Here is a 16,442-nt window from a genome sequence, read left to right as displayed (position 1 = left end):
GAAAATGGAAGCCACCTGGGAATTTATAAATATTGCGCACATGAGGATGAGAATTTACTAGACATGACTTGGTTCACGTTATTTTAATTTTAGTTAAATTAATTTAATTTAATAAAATAATTTGTAACAGAGATAATTTTAATTAGACATCAAATGTTTCTCACTTAAATATCTAGGTGACACTATTTATTGATTCATTAATTCAGTATTTATTGAGTGCCTACCACATGTCAGACACTATTTTACACATAGAGGGTGAGGATTCATCTGTAAGCAATACAGACCACAATTCCTGCCCTCAGACAGCTTACATTCTTATTATATGAAAGGAACCATATGAAGTTTGTATACAGTTGTATACAATAAAATAATCTGTAACGATGTAAATGAAAGAATAAAAATAATCATGTTAATATTGGCAGATATTACATTTGAAAACATTTAACATCCATTCATAATTTAAGCAATAGAAGAAGAGAACTCTTAAAAAGTAAGAATAGAAGACACCTTCAACAGTCTGATTAAAAAGAGAAAGATACAAAAAGGTGACAGCAAACATTACACTTAAGGGTAAAGTAATTAAGTTTTCCCTTTAATATATACTATCTCATCCAAGCCTTACAAATCCCCACCACTCTTTCTGTTTTCTTGTAGTTTTTTTCCACTTCCACTTACCCCAGGGTACAGGCTGAGGTCCAGAAATTAGAAATGACACCCACAATAGCCTCATTTTCTATTTCTTACTCTCAAATTGGGGGGCATGGAAGTATTTTTTCCTGATTAAAAACTTCATCCACTCATCCTTGAATGGCTTAATATGACTCAAGGGTAGATAAAGCTGGGACTGGCATGAGGGTAGGATGAGAAAGGGCTAAAAAATATCCCTGACCCCCTCCTCTCATTGCCTGTACCTCTACCTCTGCAGGAGGTGAAGCAGTGTTGGTAGCTCTGTCACTGGTCTGGGCTGAAGAGCTGAGGCAGCCCTCAACAGCCCGTCTGCTGTAGTCATCCATCGTAAGGCATTTTTACGAATTTTTTTTTTTTCAGATTTGGGAACAGGAAGAACTTTTGGGTTGCTAAATGGAGATGTGGTGTCGATAATCACGCTTTTATTAATTCGGTTTTATATAATAAATTTTAATCCTTGAAGGTGCTGTTTCAACTTCTATTGGGCCGTAATAAATTATCTTAACTGGGGGACTAAGGGGCCTCATTTGATCAAGCCAATTTGTAAGTGCCAAAAGCTTACTTTAATTTTAATTTGTTATTAATTGTGTCACAGAATCTATGTCCAACATAGAATATTTTAGAGCAATGACTGTATGACTGGGAAATTTAGGCGACGCTACAGATAAAGTGAGGTCTACTCATTTTTCAAAATTTTAGTTAGCTTCTCAAGATTATGGGAGTAGAGTAAGTAAATTTAATGAGATCCCTATGTATAACTATAATTTGAATCCCACTATGAAGTCCATAAATTTTGTCAATTCGTGCAGCTGGAGTGCAGTAGCACAATCTCGGCTCACTGCAACCTCCACCTCCCAGGTTCAAGCAATTGTCCTGCCTCAGCCTCCTGAGTAGCTGGGATTACAGGCACCCAGCATCACGCCCGGTTAATTTCTGTACTTTTAGTAGAGATGGGGTTTCACCATGTTGGCCAGGCTGATCTCGAACTCTTGACCTCAGGTGATCTGCCCACTTCGGCCTCCTAAAGTGCTGGGATTACGGGCGTGAGCCACCGCGTCCGGCCGCTAATGTTAGAAGTTAAGTTAGAACCTATATTGTAGAGGAACAAAAGCCAATCAGTGTCCTTTTTGTCTTTTTTTACATAAACTTTTACTACAAAAATTAATATATGGATTTTGAATTTCCAGTCAAACCAAATTGTAAAACTGTTTCAATTTGGTTCTATATTATGTATACATAATTTATCTATTATATATTTACATTAAAATATATGCATATATAATGGATTTAATTTCCTTTTGTCACCCCCATATCTAGAAGTTTCTTCATAAATTAATAAATAATCTAGGGCCAGCATTATGTTTGCTAGACCTGGTTTTGGCTCAATACTTAAAGTTAAAAGTTTCTGTCTTTTTTCTTGGACTTGTAACTGCCTAGAGCGTCAGTCTCTCTGTTATTTTTTTCTATTTTCTTTTTTCCCCCATCAGTCTTTTAGCCACTTGAAGCCAAAATTCTTAGTTTCTGTCCTAGTTGATAAGAGTAAAAGGGGAAGGAGGAAAAGGGCCCGGTGCCACTGGACAGTCACCTCTCTCTGGGAAGGACCCATTACAAGACAATGAGTCCCTCTCCTCTCTTTTTTTTCTATTTCACATAAAATCTTTAAAGTGACTTGCATTTCTAGGCATCTAATATTTATATACTTTTTATTTCCTAACCTCACTCTCTGGATGTTTACTGGACAAGATCCCAGTGGTATGGAGTAGCACTCTGCTGTTTTCACTTTACACATTGTTACCAAAAAAGAAAAAAAAATGGTATTGAGAGTTAGTCCAAACTGCACCACTTTGTAAGCCCCCCACCATTTTGCAGACTTTGGTCAAAGTGAAACATTCCATGGGGTTTCGGGCCATGAGAAACATCCTGCCCAACCACCTGACCACAAGGCACACGAACATCCTTATCACACTCTGCCGGGCAAAGGCCCAAGGAACATCACTATCACATTCTGCAGGAACAAGTGCCAAACCGCCTCATCATGGGAACATGTTATCAACATTTTCCCAGGCAACGGGCCATGCTCCACTTCCAGACCTCTCCCACCCAGGCCTGTAATTGCCCCAGCCTGTAAGCAGTGGTGGGCACTGGCACCTCTGCAGGTTTATACTGGACATAAATGCCTGCATTTGCTGTTGAGACACTCTGTCTTTGTGTGTCTTTCTTTAATCTCACTTTCTCTTCAAAACCGAACAATGAGCTCCACTTGCACTGGCCTTGTAGGCAGCCGCTTTTCTTTCCAGGGTGACCCGATCGACCTCTGAGGGGCTGGGAGAACGAGAAGTGATAGCACCAAGGAATGCAGCAACCAAGGAGGCACTGGCCTCAGCAGCACCGGCTCTTGCAAGGTGCCCTGGGGACTCAGGTGCAGTTGCCGTGTCACAGGTTAGAGTTAGGCGACTGGACCCTTTCACCCAGCTCCCCTTCACTGACACACTGAAGCCAGCATTCTGTCATCCTCTTCAACTTCACTATGGTGGAATCGCTGCTCCCCAGGAGCCTGGTGGCCCATGGCCCTATCATCAGCAAGATGGAGGTAGAGCTGAGGATCGAGCCATGGGCTACCGGGTGGCCAGCTCAGCATCCTGGCCAGCTCTCTCTGGCTGGAGGCCAGTACTTTGCTACTTAGAGCCAATACAGGCCGGACCACTACCGAGGCCCTAGGTCACCAGAGAAGCATGTATGGCTCAAGGGGCAACATGCCCTCCAGTAGTGGCCCCCTGTCAGGGGCCTGATCCCAGAAAGGGTTTCTGATGTCCCACAGGGAAACACCCTCATTACAATAGGATCTGCCCTCCTGCAGCTGCTGGGGAGCCTGGAGCCTCAAAGAGCCGTCCACGGTCACTGGAATTTCTGGAGAATCTCCAAGTTAACTGCTGAGGACAGCAGTACTAAGCTGCACGAAGCAGCAAAATGGAGCACCAGCAAGCAGTAGTGCCGTCTGGGCCAGACCGACTGGGCTGTCTGATGCAGGAAGTGCGTGAGTCATCCACACACACAGACATTGGGATTGTGTCCAAGACACAGCCAAAAGCCTGCCTGCTATGCCAGTAGTATTAAATGAAGCTCTTCAAGTTTCTCTATCAACTCAGCTGCTAGTGACCATCCTCAGCAGCCACCAGAGGTCAGGACAAAAGAACATCAAGAGGGGATCCAACTGCCCAGGTCGCTTTCGGGCAGCCTCACATCGTGGGTTGGATTGTGGGTGCGGCTTCAATGAGGCGACGACAGTGTTAAAGTTCGAGAGGTTTTAGTATTCACAGACCCCGGGAGGTACATGAGACATCTGGAGGCCACACTCAGAGGAGCAAGAGGACAGGCAGAAAGAGAGCTGACGGGGGTGGCAACTGGCAGTGGGAGTGGGGTGTGGCGCACTTCAAGTTCAGGGGCAAATGTCCGAATGGTTCCCTTTTTTCCTCTGTCACCCAGCTGGACTGCAGCGGTGTGATCTCGGCTCACTGCAACCTTCGCCTCCTGGGTTCAAGTAATTCTTCTGCCTCAGCCTCCCCAGTAGCTGGGCACCACCACCACGCCCGGCTAATTTTTTGTATTTTTAGTAGAGATGGGGTTTCACCATGTTGGCCAGGCTGTCTCGAACTCCTCGGCCTCCCAAAGTGCTGGGATTACAGGTGTGAGCCACCACGCCCAGCCAAGCTACAGCAATTTTCTATGATCATGAAAATCTGAGAATCTTCCCACCCTGGGCTATTTAGCCTCTTTAAGAATGATAGCAATTATGTAGCACTTGTTTACATCTAATACTCATAATAACACTGTGAGGCAGCCATCATCATCCCTTTTTTACTAGGGAGAATCCATGGCCCAGGGACTCCTGTAGTTTTTTCAGCATCATACCTAGCCAGTCAGTGGAGACAGGAAGATTTGTAAACCAGACCGAACAGAGCCACTACCTTTGCACGCTCAAGTGCTGCCATTGAAAGGCGTTCTTCCAAAATTACCAGGATAGGGTCCTGCCCTCGTATAATAAATTTTTTCTCCTATTTCTTTTACTCATTTCCTTCTTTTTTCCTATCATTATCAGTCACTTTCACTGAGGTCTTCCCAGGGACATTGTTTAGTGTAGCTCAGGGTTTCTCAGCTTTGACACCAATGGCATTTTGGGCTGGTTAATTCTTTGTTGTGGTGGACTGTTCTGTACACAGTAGGATGTTTAGCGGCACCCCTGGCCGCTATCCAGAGATGCCAGTAGCAACTCCCCATTCAGGAGTGACAACCAAAAGACATTGTCAAAGATCCCCTGGGAGGCAAAATACCTCCCACCCCCTCCCCCTGCCAGTTGGGTGTCACTGTAACAGTGTAAAGAGTACCAGGCTTTGGAGTCAGTTAGATCTCTACTCTGATCTTATCTCTGACACCTCGATGGTGTAAATTCTTGATCAGTGACATCTCTTTGAGCCCCCATTTTCCCCTCTGCAGAACTGAAATGGTTTTTTGATAAAGACTGATTTTCAGGGGAGGATTAAATAGAATAGACATGGACTGGAGGCTGAGGTGGGGGAATCGCTTGAACCCAGGAGGCAGAGGTTGCAGTGAGCTGAGATTGCACCACTACACTCCAGCTTGGCAACAGAGCGAGACTCCGTCTCAAAAAAAAAAAAAAAAAAAAAAAGAATAGACATGGAAATCATCTAGGATAGGTCGGTAAATCTGTAACAAATTAGAACTCTTAGCCCTCACCAGGCTGTGTGTTGTGTTGTGGGGTACAATCCCGAACCCTGCACTATGAAGCTCAGGGTCAGGACAAGAACGATGCTTATAGCAATAGTAGCTTCTACTTATGAACATTATCCACACACCAAGAGCTTCTCCCTTAACCCTCACAACTCCTCTCATAGGCTCTGTGGATGGGATGTGTTAATATGTGTAAGCACTCAACACACCCTGAGACACGGTGAATATTGATTAATGTTAGTTTTAATTTGTATAACCATTGTACAGACGAGAAAGTTAAGACTTAGATTGAGGTGGGATGTGGTGAGGGATAAAAGATCATTTTTTATACCAAAAAAATTGAAAATTGTATTTCTACTAGATCATTCTATCACATAATCACGCCCCCTCTCTTTCAAGAGAAACCTCCTTTGAAGCATATTTCTTTCCAGCTTCAACCCTATCTAGCCAAATGACCTCTCTGTAAGGTCTGTCTGTAAGACAGAATTTCCAGCCAAACATCCAAAGAGAATGTCTCTAATTCTTCCTTTTCCTTCTTCGCCTCAGCTGTTCTCCTTAATCCACTCCACATTGACTTCTGTCCTTAGCACTCCACCTAATGCATTTTCCCAAGGATGCTTATGACCCCCAGGCTGCCAAATCCAGTGAGTCCTTCTCAGTTTTTAAGACCTGATATCCCAATGACACAGGACCCATTGGATCACTTTCTCCCTTTTCAAACACATTTTTCCTATGCCATGAGATATATCCAAGAGATATGTGCACACAATACACTCTTGGTCGTCTCTACAGCTCGATTCTCTTCCTCTTTTTAGTCCAATTTACGGTGTTTTCTATTCTAAATTTGACTCTAAATGTTGGGGTATCTCACATTCTATAAATGATATCATCCAGTCTCTGGGATTAAACCATTATGCTGTCTTTTCATCTAAATTATCAGCCGTGGCCTCTCCCTGGCACTCAAGTCTGATAAAACCTCTCCCCGTGGGAGTCCCATAGACTCCAAACCTCACATGGTTTTACCAAACTGTTGATGTTCTCTGCCTCCCAGACCTGCCACTCTTCCAATATTCTGTATCTATTTGGAGATTAAATATTCAGTTGTTAAAGCTCCAGATCTAGAACTCACCTTTCATTTCTCTTTTCCTCACCACCCAACGCCATCCACGTCTTACTCATTCTATCTACAGAACATGCTGAATGCACAGCCAGAGCCATTGCCATCTCCACGACCGGTGTCCATGGCCCTGTCAGGCTTGGATATTTGCACAAGCCTTGCAAATAGCTTTTTCCTGGTCCTGCTGCCCCCTCCCCTAAGATCCATTCTCCAGACAGAAACCAAATGAGCTTTAAAAAGGTCCAATAAGATGGTGATGTTATTCGCAATACCTTCCGATGGCTTCCAGACTTCTAAGTTACCCTTATCTTAGGTTCCCTTATCCTAGGTTCCCTTATCCACTGCCACATGTGCCCTGTGCATCCCTCAGACCTCATCTCTGCACTCTCATCAGACACACTGGGCTCCACCCACTGGGCTCTAATTCCTTGAACTTGCAGCTCTTTGTCATCTCAGGGCTTCTGCTTTCTCTATTCCTTCTGCCTACCGTGCTCTTCGTCTTGAGCTTCCTGCACCTGGCTCATCCTGAATATTCATATTTCAGGTCAAATATTATTTCAGAGAGATCCCACCTCACCCACTCTGCAAAGCAGAATGCTCAGGTACAGCCTATCTCACCAGATACTTTTCTCCTTTATTTGTTTGTTCATTTATCTTCTCTCTTAAATACCCTCCACACTAGTACGTAAGCTCCACAGGACTATCAAGATCCTTCAATGCTACATCTCTACAATGCTACATGTCCAGTAGAAATATAATGTGTTAACTTTAGCTACATATGGGACTCAAAATTTTTTTGTAGCCACTGTTTTTAAAAAAGTAAAACACCTTTGGGGAAATTATTTTAGTAATAAATTTTATTTAATTACATATATGATAAAGAATTGGCCAGTCACATTGGCTCACGCCTGTAATCCCAGCACTTTGGGAGGCCGAGGTGGGCAGATCACGAGGTCAGGAGTTGAAGACCAGCCTGGCCAACATATTGAAACCCCGTCTCTACTAAAAATACAAAAAATTAGCCAGGCGTGGTGGCAGGTGCCTGTAATCCCAGCTACTCAGGAGGCTGAGGCAGGAGAATCGCTTGAACCTGGGAGGCAGAGGTTGCAGTGGGCTGAGATTGTGCCACTGCACTCCAGCCTGGGTGACAGCGCAAGACTCCATCAAAAAAAAAAAAAAAAAAAAAAAAAAAAAGAATGTTACTGGAACATGTAACCAAATTAAACACTGTTAATGAAATAGTTAACATTGTTTTCATACTAACGAAGTGGATTCTTCACTGGACTACGCTACTCCAGAGTTAGAAGGGCTCTGTCATATAGCAGGCATTTCAACAATAACTTTAAAATTTTCAGACCCCAACTTACCACCAGCTTAGATCCTTTTCCTGTGCCCAGTTCCTGGATTCCTGTGGAGCAACTCAGGCTCTAAGTACTTGTAAAAAGATGAAGTTATATGTTTGGTTTTAAGATCTTAATTGGCTTTGGTTATAAAGATGGAATCAGACAGCCTGTCATGCTATAAAACAAAATGAGTGTTTTGATAGTTAGAGCCAAGGAAGTTGGTTTTACAGGGATAGGAGGGCTAAAGAAAGCAGAAACAGAGAACAAAAACCTGATTGGTCATCTGGATGTTGCATTTTTTTTGTGCAGCAGGAATAGAGAGACAGCAATAAGGAACAACTGATTGATTGAAGTCAAGTTACCACAGATTGCTTTTTTTTTTTTTTTGTAAAGATGAAAGCAGACAGAACTTCATGTTCATGCCCACTGAAACTGGCCTGTTTTAGGAATTTGTCCATTTTCTCTCTCTCCTGATTTCTCAAAAGTTCAGATACATTAGTTTTGGTTTGGTGATGTGGAGTTTTAGTATGACTGACTCCATTTGGTTTGCTTTGTCGAACCTAGTACAATAGGTCAGTCCAAACCACTTACTTGCTGTTTTTATAGAACAGGCTTCAGCAGAGACTTAGTTGAAGGACACGGGGACAATGGAGCTGGAATCAATCCAGTGACACAAACTCAGGGTTTCTTACCATTCCCAGAAGACACCTTGGAGATGTTCTCAGACGATTTATCTTGGAAACTTATGTGTCTGAATGTTCCTTCACCTCTAGCCTTCTGTGGGAGACTGGAGTTCATCCTTCCAAATATCAAAGGCCAAGAAATCTGAGAGTCCAGGCCCTTTCTTTTCAGAGATTCAGGAAAATGAAAGAAACAATTACCAAGGTGAGAAGAATGAGAGGAAAAACAATAAAAAAACAAAGATGCACGGTGAAACAAAAACTCGATTCTCTACTTTCACAATCCTTCTGACCAAATATACTTTTTCTCTACACCAAGAAATTCTCCAATTCTCTGGGGACACCACCTGGGCCACCTGCAATTAAAAATTCGGTTATGATGCTGTCTACCTGGATTCAGCTCAGATCCGAAAAGCTAAAGGGCTCACTCCCACAAACTGTTCTCAGATCAGATCAGACATCTGTTGCAAGTCCCAGGTGGCTACTTGTACTTCTGACTGACAGGCTATAAATTGGGTGTTCCAATGACACCAATAAATTGCTAGAATGGCACACAGAACTCAGGAAAGCACTTTGTTTGCATCTGTTGCTTTATATAAGGAATATACCTCAGGAATAGTCCATTGGAAAGAGGCATATGGCAGGTATATGGCAGGGAAGGGGTTGGGTGGTGCATGGAGCTTCCATGCTCTCTTCAGGCAGCCACTCTCCCAGCACTCCTGAGTGTTCACCAATGTGGAAGCTCATCAAATCTCATTGTTCAAGAGTTTTTATGGAACTCAATCTCCAGTCCCTGCCTCCCCTTCCTGGAGATCAGTAGGTGGGGCTGACAGCTCCAACCCTCTAATCCCTTGGTCTTTCTGGTGACCAGTCCCATCCTAAGGCCATGATCTCCTTAGCATAAACTCAGCTATGATCAAAAGGGGCTGTTTATGAATAACAAATAATACTCCTATCACTCAGGGAATTCCAAGGGTTTTAAGAGCCCTGTGCCAGAAATCTGTGACAAAATCAAATATGCTTTGAGGTATTTCATACCTCAGAGTTACAAAGAGAAGCAGTAACTAGGAGCATGTAGAGAGGTAAGGAAGGTAAATGAGAGACACTGTACACTCCACACCATTGCCGAGATTAACCCCCTAACCTTCTGCCCCTAGGGAGATGCTCTATGGACTACTGATCTAAGGAGATGGGCTCTTTCTGAGTTTTTAAACACCATCAGAATGTTGTTCTCAAGCCCAAGGAATAGAACCATGAAAAACAGTGGAGAGCCACAAAACAAGAGTCAACTATTTTCTATTTTCTCTCTGATTCACTGGATGTTTTCAGTGATAAGGTAGAGTAAACCAATGAAGCACATAAGCCATGGAGAAATTTATTATTAAAAAAAGTTTTGGAAGGGGATAGATCTGGAGTTTGAACAAAAATTGAGTTTAATGTCACCCTTCCACTCCATCATCATATTGGTTTTCTTCTAGGGCTTTCTTGAAAGTGACCACAGAATGGCTGCCACTGTTCTGGACATTGCATCAACAGGCCCTCCCGAGCCAGAATCATGAGACAGGCAGAAAATGTGACTCATTCACATGCCTCTTCCATTTTATTACAGAGGGAAACCTTGTCCAGAGTCTCTTCAGGACCTCTCCTTGTCTTTCATTGCCAGAGCATGCCATCTCTAGACCAATCAATGGCCAAGAAATAACAAAAATACCGATACATAAAAATAAAGGTCAGGGACAGTGGCTCACGCCTGTAATGCCAGAATTTGGGGAGGCCAAGACAGGAAGATTGCTTGAGCTCAGGAGTTCAAGACCAGCCTGGGCAACATAGTGAGACCCCATCTCTAAAACCAAAAAAATATTAGCTGGGTGTGGTGGTGTGGACCTGTAGTTCCAGCTACTCAGGAGGTGAAGTGGGAGGACTGCTTTGTCAGGGAAGTTGAGGCTGCAGTGAGCCATGATGATGCCACTGCCCTCGAGCCTGGGCAATGAGCAATACCTTACCTCAAAAAAAAAAAAAAAAAAAAAAAAGACAAGTTGCTCATATTGGCTTAGGCCAATCATGATTGCTTTCCTAGGACAGTGGCACATTGCTACCTGCCACCTGATTAAAATGGAATTTACTTATCAGTATAATAAAGGGTGGTGGGTATTGCATGAGGCCTCTGAAGAGGTGCTCCCTTGCTGGCTCCTGCAGACATAGAGCTTAAACAGACATGTGCCTTACCCTGGAGATGCCGACTACCCAGGTAAAGAGGTGACAGCGTCACTCTACTGTGACTAAGCATAGTCTTATGCACCCTTTGTGCACAATGGTGTCCTCTGCCATTTCCCTAAGCAGTCACAGTAGAGTGGGGGTATATAGTGATAGACAGATGCCTGGTTCATTATGAGATTTCCCAAAAGGAACAACTAACTGAGACTGACAGGGTCCAGGGTCACTTCCAAGTGCAATGCAGATAACATCCGGGATGAATCTTAAAGACTCAGATAAAGAAGCAAAAAAAAATACATTCCAGGCAGAGGAGAGTGAAAGCACGCAGGAAAGGGTCAAAAAATAGCAGGTTACCTGCGGTTATTGGAGCATAGATGGTGAGGCAGACAGCAATAAACACTGAGTGTGTAGCAAGTGGCAGAAGCCATCTGTTGGAGGGTCCTGAATGCTACAAGAAGGACTTGGAATTTCTTCATAATAACATGAATAACCATTTAAGCAGGACAGTGACTTGTCAGGTGTGTGCTTCTGAAAAATATTGTTCTGTAGTCCTGCAAAGGGATGCCTTTGAGAATGTTTCTAATTGGAGACAGAGATATTAGAATGGAGAATGTTGCCAGAAATCAAGGTAAGGTTCTTGAAGAGCTACCCAGGGCAGGAATAGTGTGATCAAGAAGAGGCGTAGCTTAGAGACAGATTGTCCAGGCTGAGTAGACCAGCCTTGGAGACTGGATGGCTGTGGGGAATGGGGAAGAATGAGTGCTCTTTATAAATTCCACATTCCTAAAGTTACTATTGCTGCATCTGCTACAGTCTGAATGTTTGTTTCTCCCCTCCCCAGATTTGTATGGGAAATCCTAACCCCCTAGGTTATGGTATTAAAAGGCGGGACCATAGGGAGGAGATTAGAGCGTGATGGTTGCACCCTCATAAATAGGATTAGTGCCTTTGTAAGAAAGCCTTGAGGGAGCTTGTCTGTCTTCCACCATGTGAGGACATATGGAAGGCGCTGTCTATGAGTAATGGGCCCTCATCAGACATGGAATCTGTTGGCATCCTAACCTTGGTTTTTCTTTTTTTATTCTTTCCTTTTTTTTTTTGAGAGAAAGTCTTGCTTTGTCACCCAGGCTGGAGTGCAGCAGTGCAATCTCGTCTCACTGCAACCTCCACCTCCTGAGTTCAAGGGATTCTCGTGCCTCAGCCTCTCAAGCAGCTGGGATTACAGGAATGTGCCACCATGCCTGGCTAATTTTTTTTTTTTTTTCTGTTAAAGATGGGATTTTGCCATGTTGCCCAGGCTGTTCTCAAACTCCTGGCCTCAAGCGATCCCAAACTGCTGAGATTATGGTGGCATGAGCCACTGTGCCCAGCCTTAATGTTGGTTTTTCTATCCTCCAGTACTGTGAGTAATAAATTTATGTGGATCATAACTTACTCTAATAGATTTTGTTATAGCAGGTCAAATGGGCTAAAAGACTAATTTGTACCAAGAAGTAGAGGTATTATAATTAGAAATACCTAAAAATGTGGAAATGGCTTTGGAACTGGGTAATGTGAGAGGCTGGAAGAGTTTGTGAGTGCTAGAAAAAACTCTACATTTCCATGAATGTAACGTTGAGGGTGATTCTGCTACAGGCTCAGAAGAAGATTGCAATAATGATCAGAGTATTGGTAGAAATGTAGAAGTAGGTCATTCTGATGAGATCTCAGATGAAAATGAGAAATATTATTGGAAACTGTAGGAAAGGACAGCCTCATTATAAAGTGGCAAAGAACTTGGCTGAATTGTGTCTGTGTCCTTGTGCTTTGTGGAAGGTAGAACTTCTGAGTGATGGAATAAGATGTTTGGTGGAAGTTACATCTAAGCAAAGCATTGAGGGTGTGGCATGGCTTCTCTTGATTGCTTATAGTAAAATGCAGGAAAAGAGTTACATAAAAAATGGCAATTATAGGCCAGGCACGGTGGCTCACTCCTGTAATCCCAGCACTTTGGGAGACCGAGGCAGGTGGATCATGAGGTCAGGAGATCGAGACCAGCCTGGCCAACATAGTGAAACTCTGTCTCTACTAAAAATACAAAAATGAGCCGGGTGTGGTGGTGAACACCTGTAATCCCAGCTACTCAGAGGCTGAGGCAAGAGAATTGCTTGAACCTGGGAGGTAGAGTTTGCAGTGGGCCGAGATCGCGCCACTGCGCACCCCAGCCTGGGTGATAGAGTAAGACTCCATCTCAAAAAAAAAAAAAAAAAAAAGGCAATTATAATCAAAAAGGAAGTAGAACCTAAAGATTTGGAAAATTCTCAGCCTGTAAAAAGTGCAAAAGTATGTTCAGGGGAGAACACCAATGGTGTGGGTAAGTGAACATTTGATACGGAGATTAGCATGGATAGAAGCCAGATAGTATTCATCAAGACAATGGAAGAATGACTCTGAAGGCATCTCACAGATCTTCACATCTTCCCTGCCCATCACAGGCACAGAATGCAAACAATTTCAAGGTTTTGGCGGCAAACAATTTCAAGATTGTATTCCCCATATTCCAGTATAGCACTCCTTGGCCTTCCAAGCTTTGGCTCAAGCACGCCAGACTGCGGCTCAGGCCACTTCTCTGGATGGCACAGGCTGTAAGCCAAGGCTACATCTGTGTGGTGTCATCTCCACCAGGGCACAGAGTGCATGAGCTGCGGGGTTGTGGCTGCCTCCCCTTAGATTTTGAAGGAAGGTGCTACCTGGAGTCGCAGGCATGCAACTCAGGGAGAGGGCTGTCTCCAGAGACTCTCTGTCTCTCCACAGAGAGTCCCTCCCCCAATATGATGGCATTAAGAGAATGCCCAGTACAGCAGCGGGGATGGGGCCACCACAGAGTGCCTCCACTAGGGCAATGTCCAGTGGAACCCTGGGGGTGAGGCTGCCCCTGAGACCTCAGAACAGTGTAGCCACCTGTGTGCAATACCACCCTTGGGGAGCTACAGCACCTGACTTCAGCCCCTGAGAGCTGCTGCATCAGCTACACCCAGCAAAGCCATGATGGTGGTTCTGCCCAGAGCTGTTGTGGCCCAACCCCAGCTCCAATGTGTCCAAAAAGCAGAACATGGAGTCAAAGAACATTATACTGAGGCCTTAAAATGTATTTGCCACATTGTTTTGGACTTCCTCAGGATCTGGTTCCCCTTTCTTCCTTCCTATTTCTCCTTTTTGATATGGGAATGTCAATCCTAGATTGTCCCACCACTATATTTTCGAAAGCACGTAATTGTCTGATTTAACAGGCTTACAGCTGAAGAGGAATTTGCCTCAGGATGAATCATACTTTGAGTCTCACCCATGTCTGACTGAGACGATCCTTAGATGATTTTTGCCCCATTGGAGTGAAAGTTCATTTTAAGACTCTTATTCTGTTTACTTGCCTCTAGGCATTTTTGTTAATCATGGGCCATTTCGTAGCAAGAAAGAAAACCTACTTATGTTTTGGTTTTTTGTTTTTTTTTTTTTTTTTTTTAGATGGAGTCTTGATCTGTCAACCAGGTTGGAATACAGTGGCATGATCTCAGCTCACCGCAACCTCCACTTCCCAGGTTCAAGTGATTCTCCTGCCTCAGCCTCCTGAGTAGCTGGGATTATAGGCATGCGCCACCATGCTCGGCTTATTTCTGTATTTTTAGCACAGATGGGGTCTCGCCGTGTTGGCCAGGCTGGTCTCGAACTCCTGACCAGCCTGGTGATCCGTCCACCTCGACCTCCCAAAGTGCTGGGATTACAGGTGTGAGCCACCATACCCAACTGCTTATGTTTTAATAACGAGAGTTTATGGGAAACATGCAGAGGCATCCAGGAACCCAGTTTTAGGAAGAATAATTGGACTTCAAAAGACTTGCAAATGTGTTTGGCAATTAGTCTCTGTGGGGTCCTTTGCCTCTTTTTTTCTCTTGACATCTGGGTCCTTCTCCTTTATGCATAATGGTGTCCTCTGCCATTTCCCTTATTTTAATTCCCCCCTCCCAACCATCACACACACACAGTATTTTGGTTTCCTTGTGCCTCTTAGACACATCTATACTTCTTACCCTTCCTTCCTTGGGAATCTTCTAAAATGCTTCTTGTTATTAGGACCCAAAGATAAATTTTTATAAAATAAATCTGAACATATCTCGCCTCAGATCTAAAATTTTCAGTATTTTTTCATTTCATCCCTATCTTCCTGGCATGAGATGCTGTATTGTGAGACCAGGAGCTATGGCAGCTATCTTGGGGCCGTGAGGTGGCAATTTCCAGGAAAAAAAAAACACACCAAAATAGTGATGAAAAAGTGAAAAGATCAAAATAAACTTATTAAATGATATAATTTGGACAGAAAGTAATTTAGTACTACTCACTTGCAAAATTCTTGGAAAGCAAATAAACCATAAATGTTGTCTTTGGTTTAAGCCATTGTTAGGTGTAATTTTAAATTATAAACTACTTAAAATTGTAAACAGCCTTAATGACACAAAGCCTTGGGAATAATGCTTTTAGGTGGACTACCTTATTTCTGTCTCTGCTTCCCATTTATCTCCATACCACTCTGATACCCTTGGATAGAACCTAATATTTCAGAAAGCCCACCACCTCTTTGCACTAGAAACCTACAAATGAGCTTCCACTGGAGCCAAAAATTATGGGGTTAATCTTGGGGTGCCTGGGTGTGGATGCTCTGTCCTGTCAACTTCTCTGCCTCCCTTCAATCTCTCAGTGGTTTTGGTCTCCATCCTTCTCGTCTTCATTCTGCCTTTCATTGCTTCCCTCTAATTCTTCTGTTACTGGAAGGGGTCCTGATCCAGACCCCAAGGGAGGGTTCTTGATCTCGCACAAGGAAGAATTCAGCGTGACTCCATAGAATAAAGTGAAAACAAGTTTATTAAGAAAGTAAAGGAATAAAGCATGGCTATTCCATAGACAAAGTAGCCCTGAGGGCTGCTAGTTGGCCATTTTTATGGTTATTTCTTGATGATACGCTAAACAAGGGGTGGATTATTCATTCCTCCCCTTTTTAGACCATATAGGGTAACTTCCTGACGTTGCCATGGCATCTGTAACCTGTCATGGCACTGGTGGGGGTGTAGCAGTGAGGACGACCAGAGGTCACTCTCGTGGCCATCTTGATTTTGGTGGCTTTTGGCCGGCTTCTTTACTGCAACCTGTTTTATCAGCAAGGTCTTTATGACCTGTTTTTTTGTGCTGAACTCCTATCTCATCCTGTGACTTAGAATGCCTTCACTGTCTGGGAATGCAGCCCAGTAGGTCTCAGCCTAATTTTACCCAGCTACTATTCAACATGGAGTTGCTCTGGTTCCAGTGCCTCTGACATCATTACAGTACTTGCTCCTCTCTTTACCTTGACCCTTGGAGAGAGAAGGGTCCTGGACACCCAGATTCCTTGGCCCTTTAGGTTGAGAGGGTTGAATCTCTGCATCCCACAAAGACTGAGGTTGAGAAACACAGTCAGGTACTTTAGTTCCTAAATGGGCCCACAACAATCCACTGCTATTAAAACAAGTAGTATATTGGTGTGTTCTTAGGGCCATTAAAAATCAGAAGGAGCTCTGCTTTCTGTTTCCTGTTCCCCAACTGGTTTCAGTTCTCTTACTCCTCCTCCTGTCCCTTGGGCTAACTTCTGCT

At 43.6% G+C, this 16,442-nt stretch overlaps 1 protein-coding gene across 1 annotated transcript in view; it reads right to left on the bottom strand.

The window, feature by feature from the left end:
* FPR3 (formyl peptide receptor 3) overlaps nucleotides 1-8,092 on the bottom strand; it is a 31,034-nt gene extending 22,942 nt beyond the window's left edge. The window contains exon 1 of the mRNA NM_002030.5: nucleotides 7,918-8,092. The gene's annotated coding sequence lies outside the window, so the exon portion shown is untranslated. The remainder of the gene's footprint in view (nucleotides 1-7,917) is intronic.
* Between the last annotated feature and the right edge of the window lie 8,350 nt (nucleotides 8,093-16,442).

The sequence above is a fragment of the Homo sapiens genome, chromosome 19 (assembly GCF_000001405.40).
Source record: "Homo sapiens chromosome 19, GRCh38.p14 Primary Assembly".
In the NCBI taxonomy this organism is placed as follows: domain Eukaryota; kingdom Metazoa; phylum Chordata; class Mammalia; order Primates; family Hominidae; genus Homo; species Homo sapiens.
Note: the sequence above shows the minus strand (reverse complement) of the source record. Positions and strands in the feature narration are given on the sequence as shown.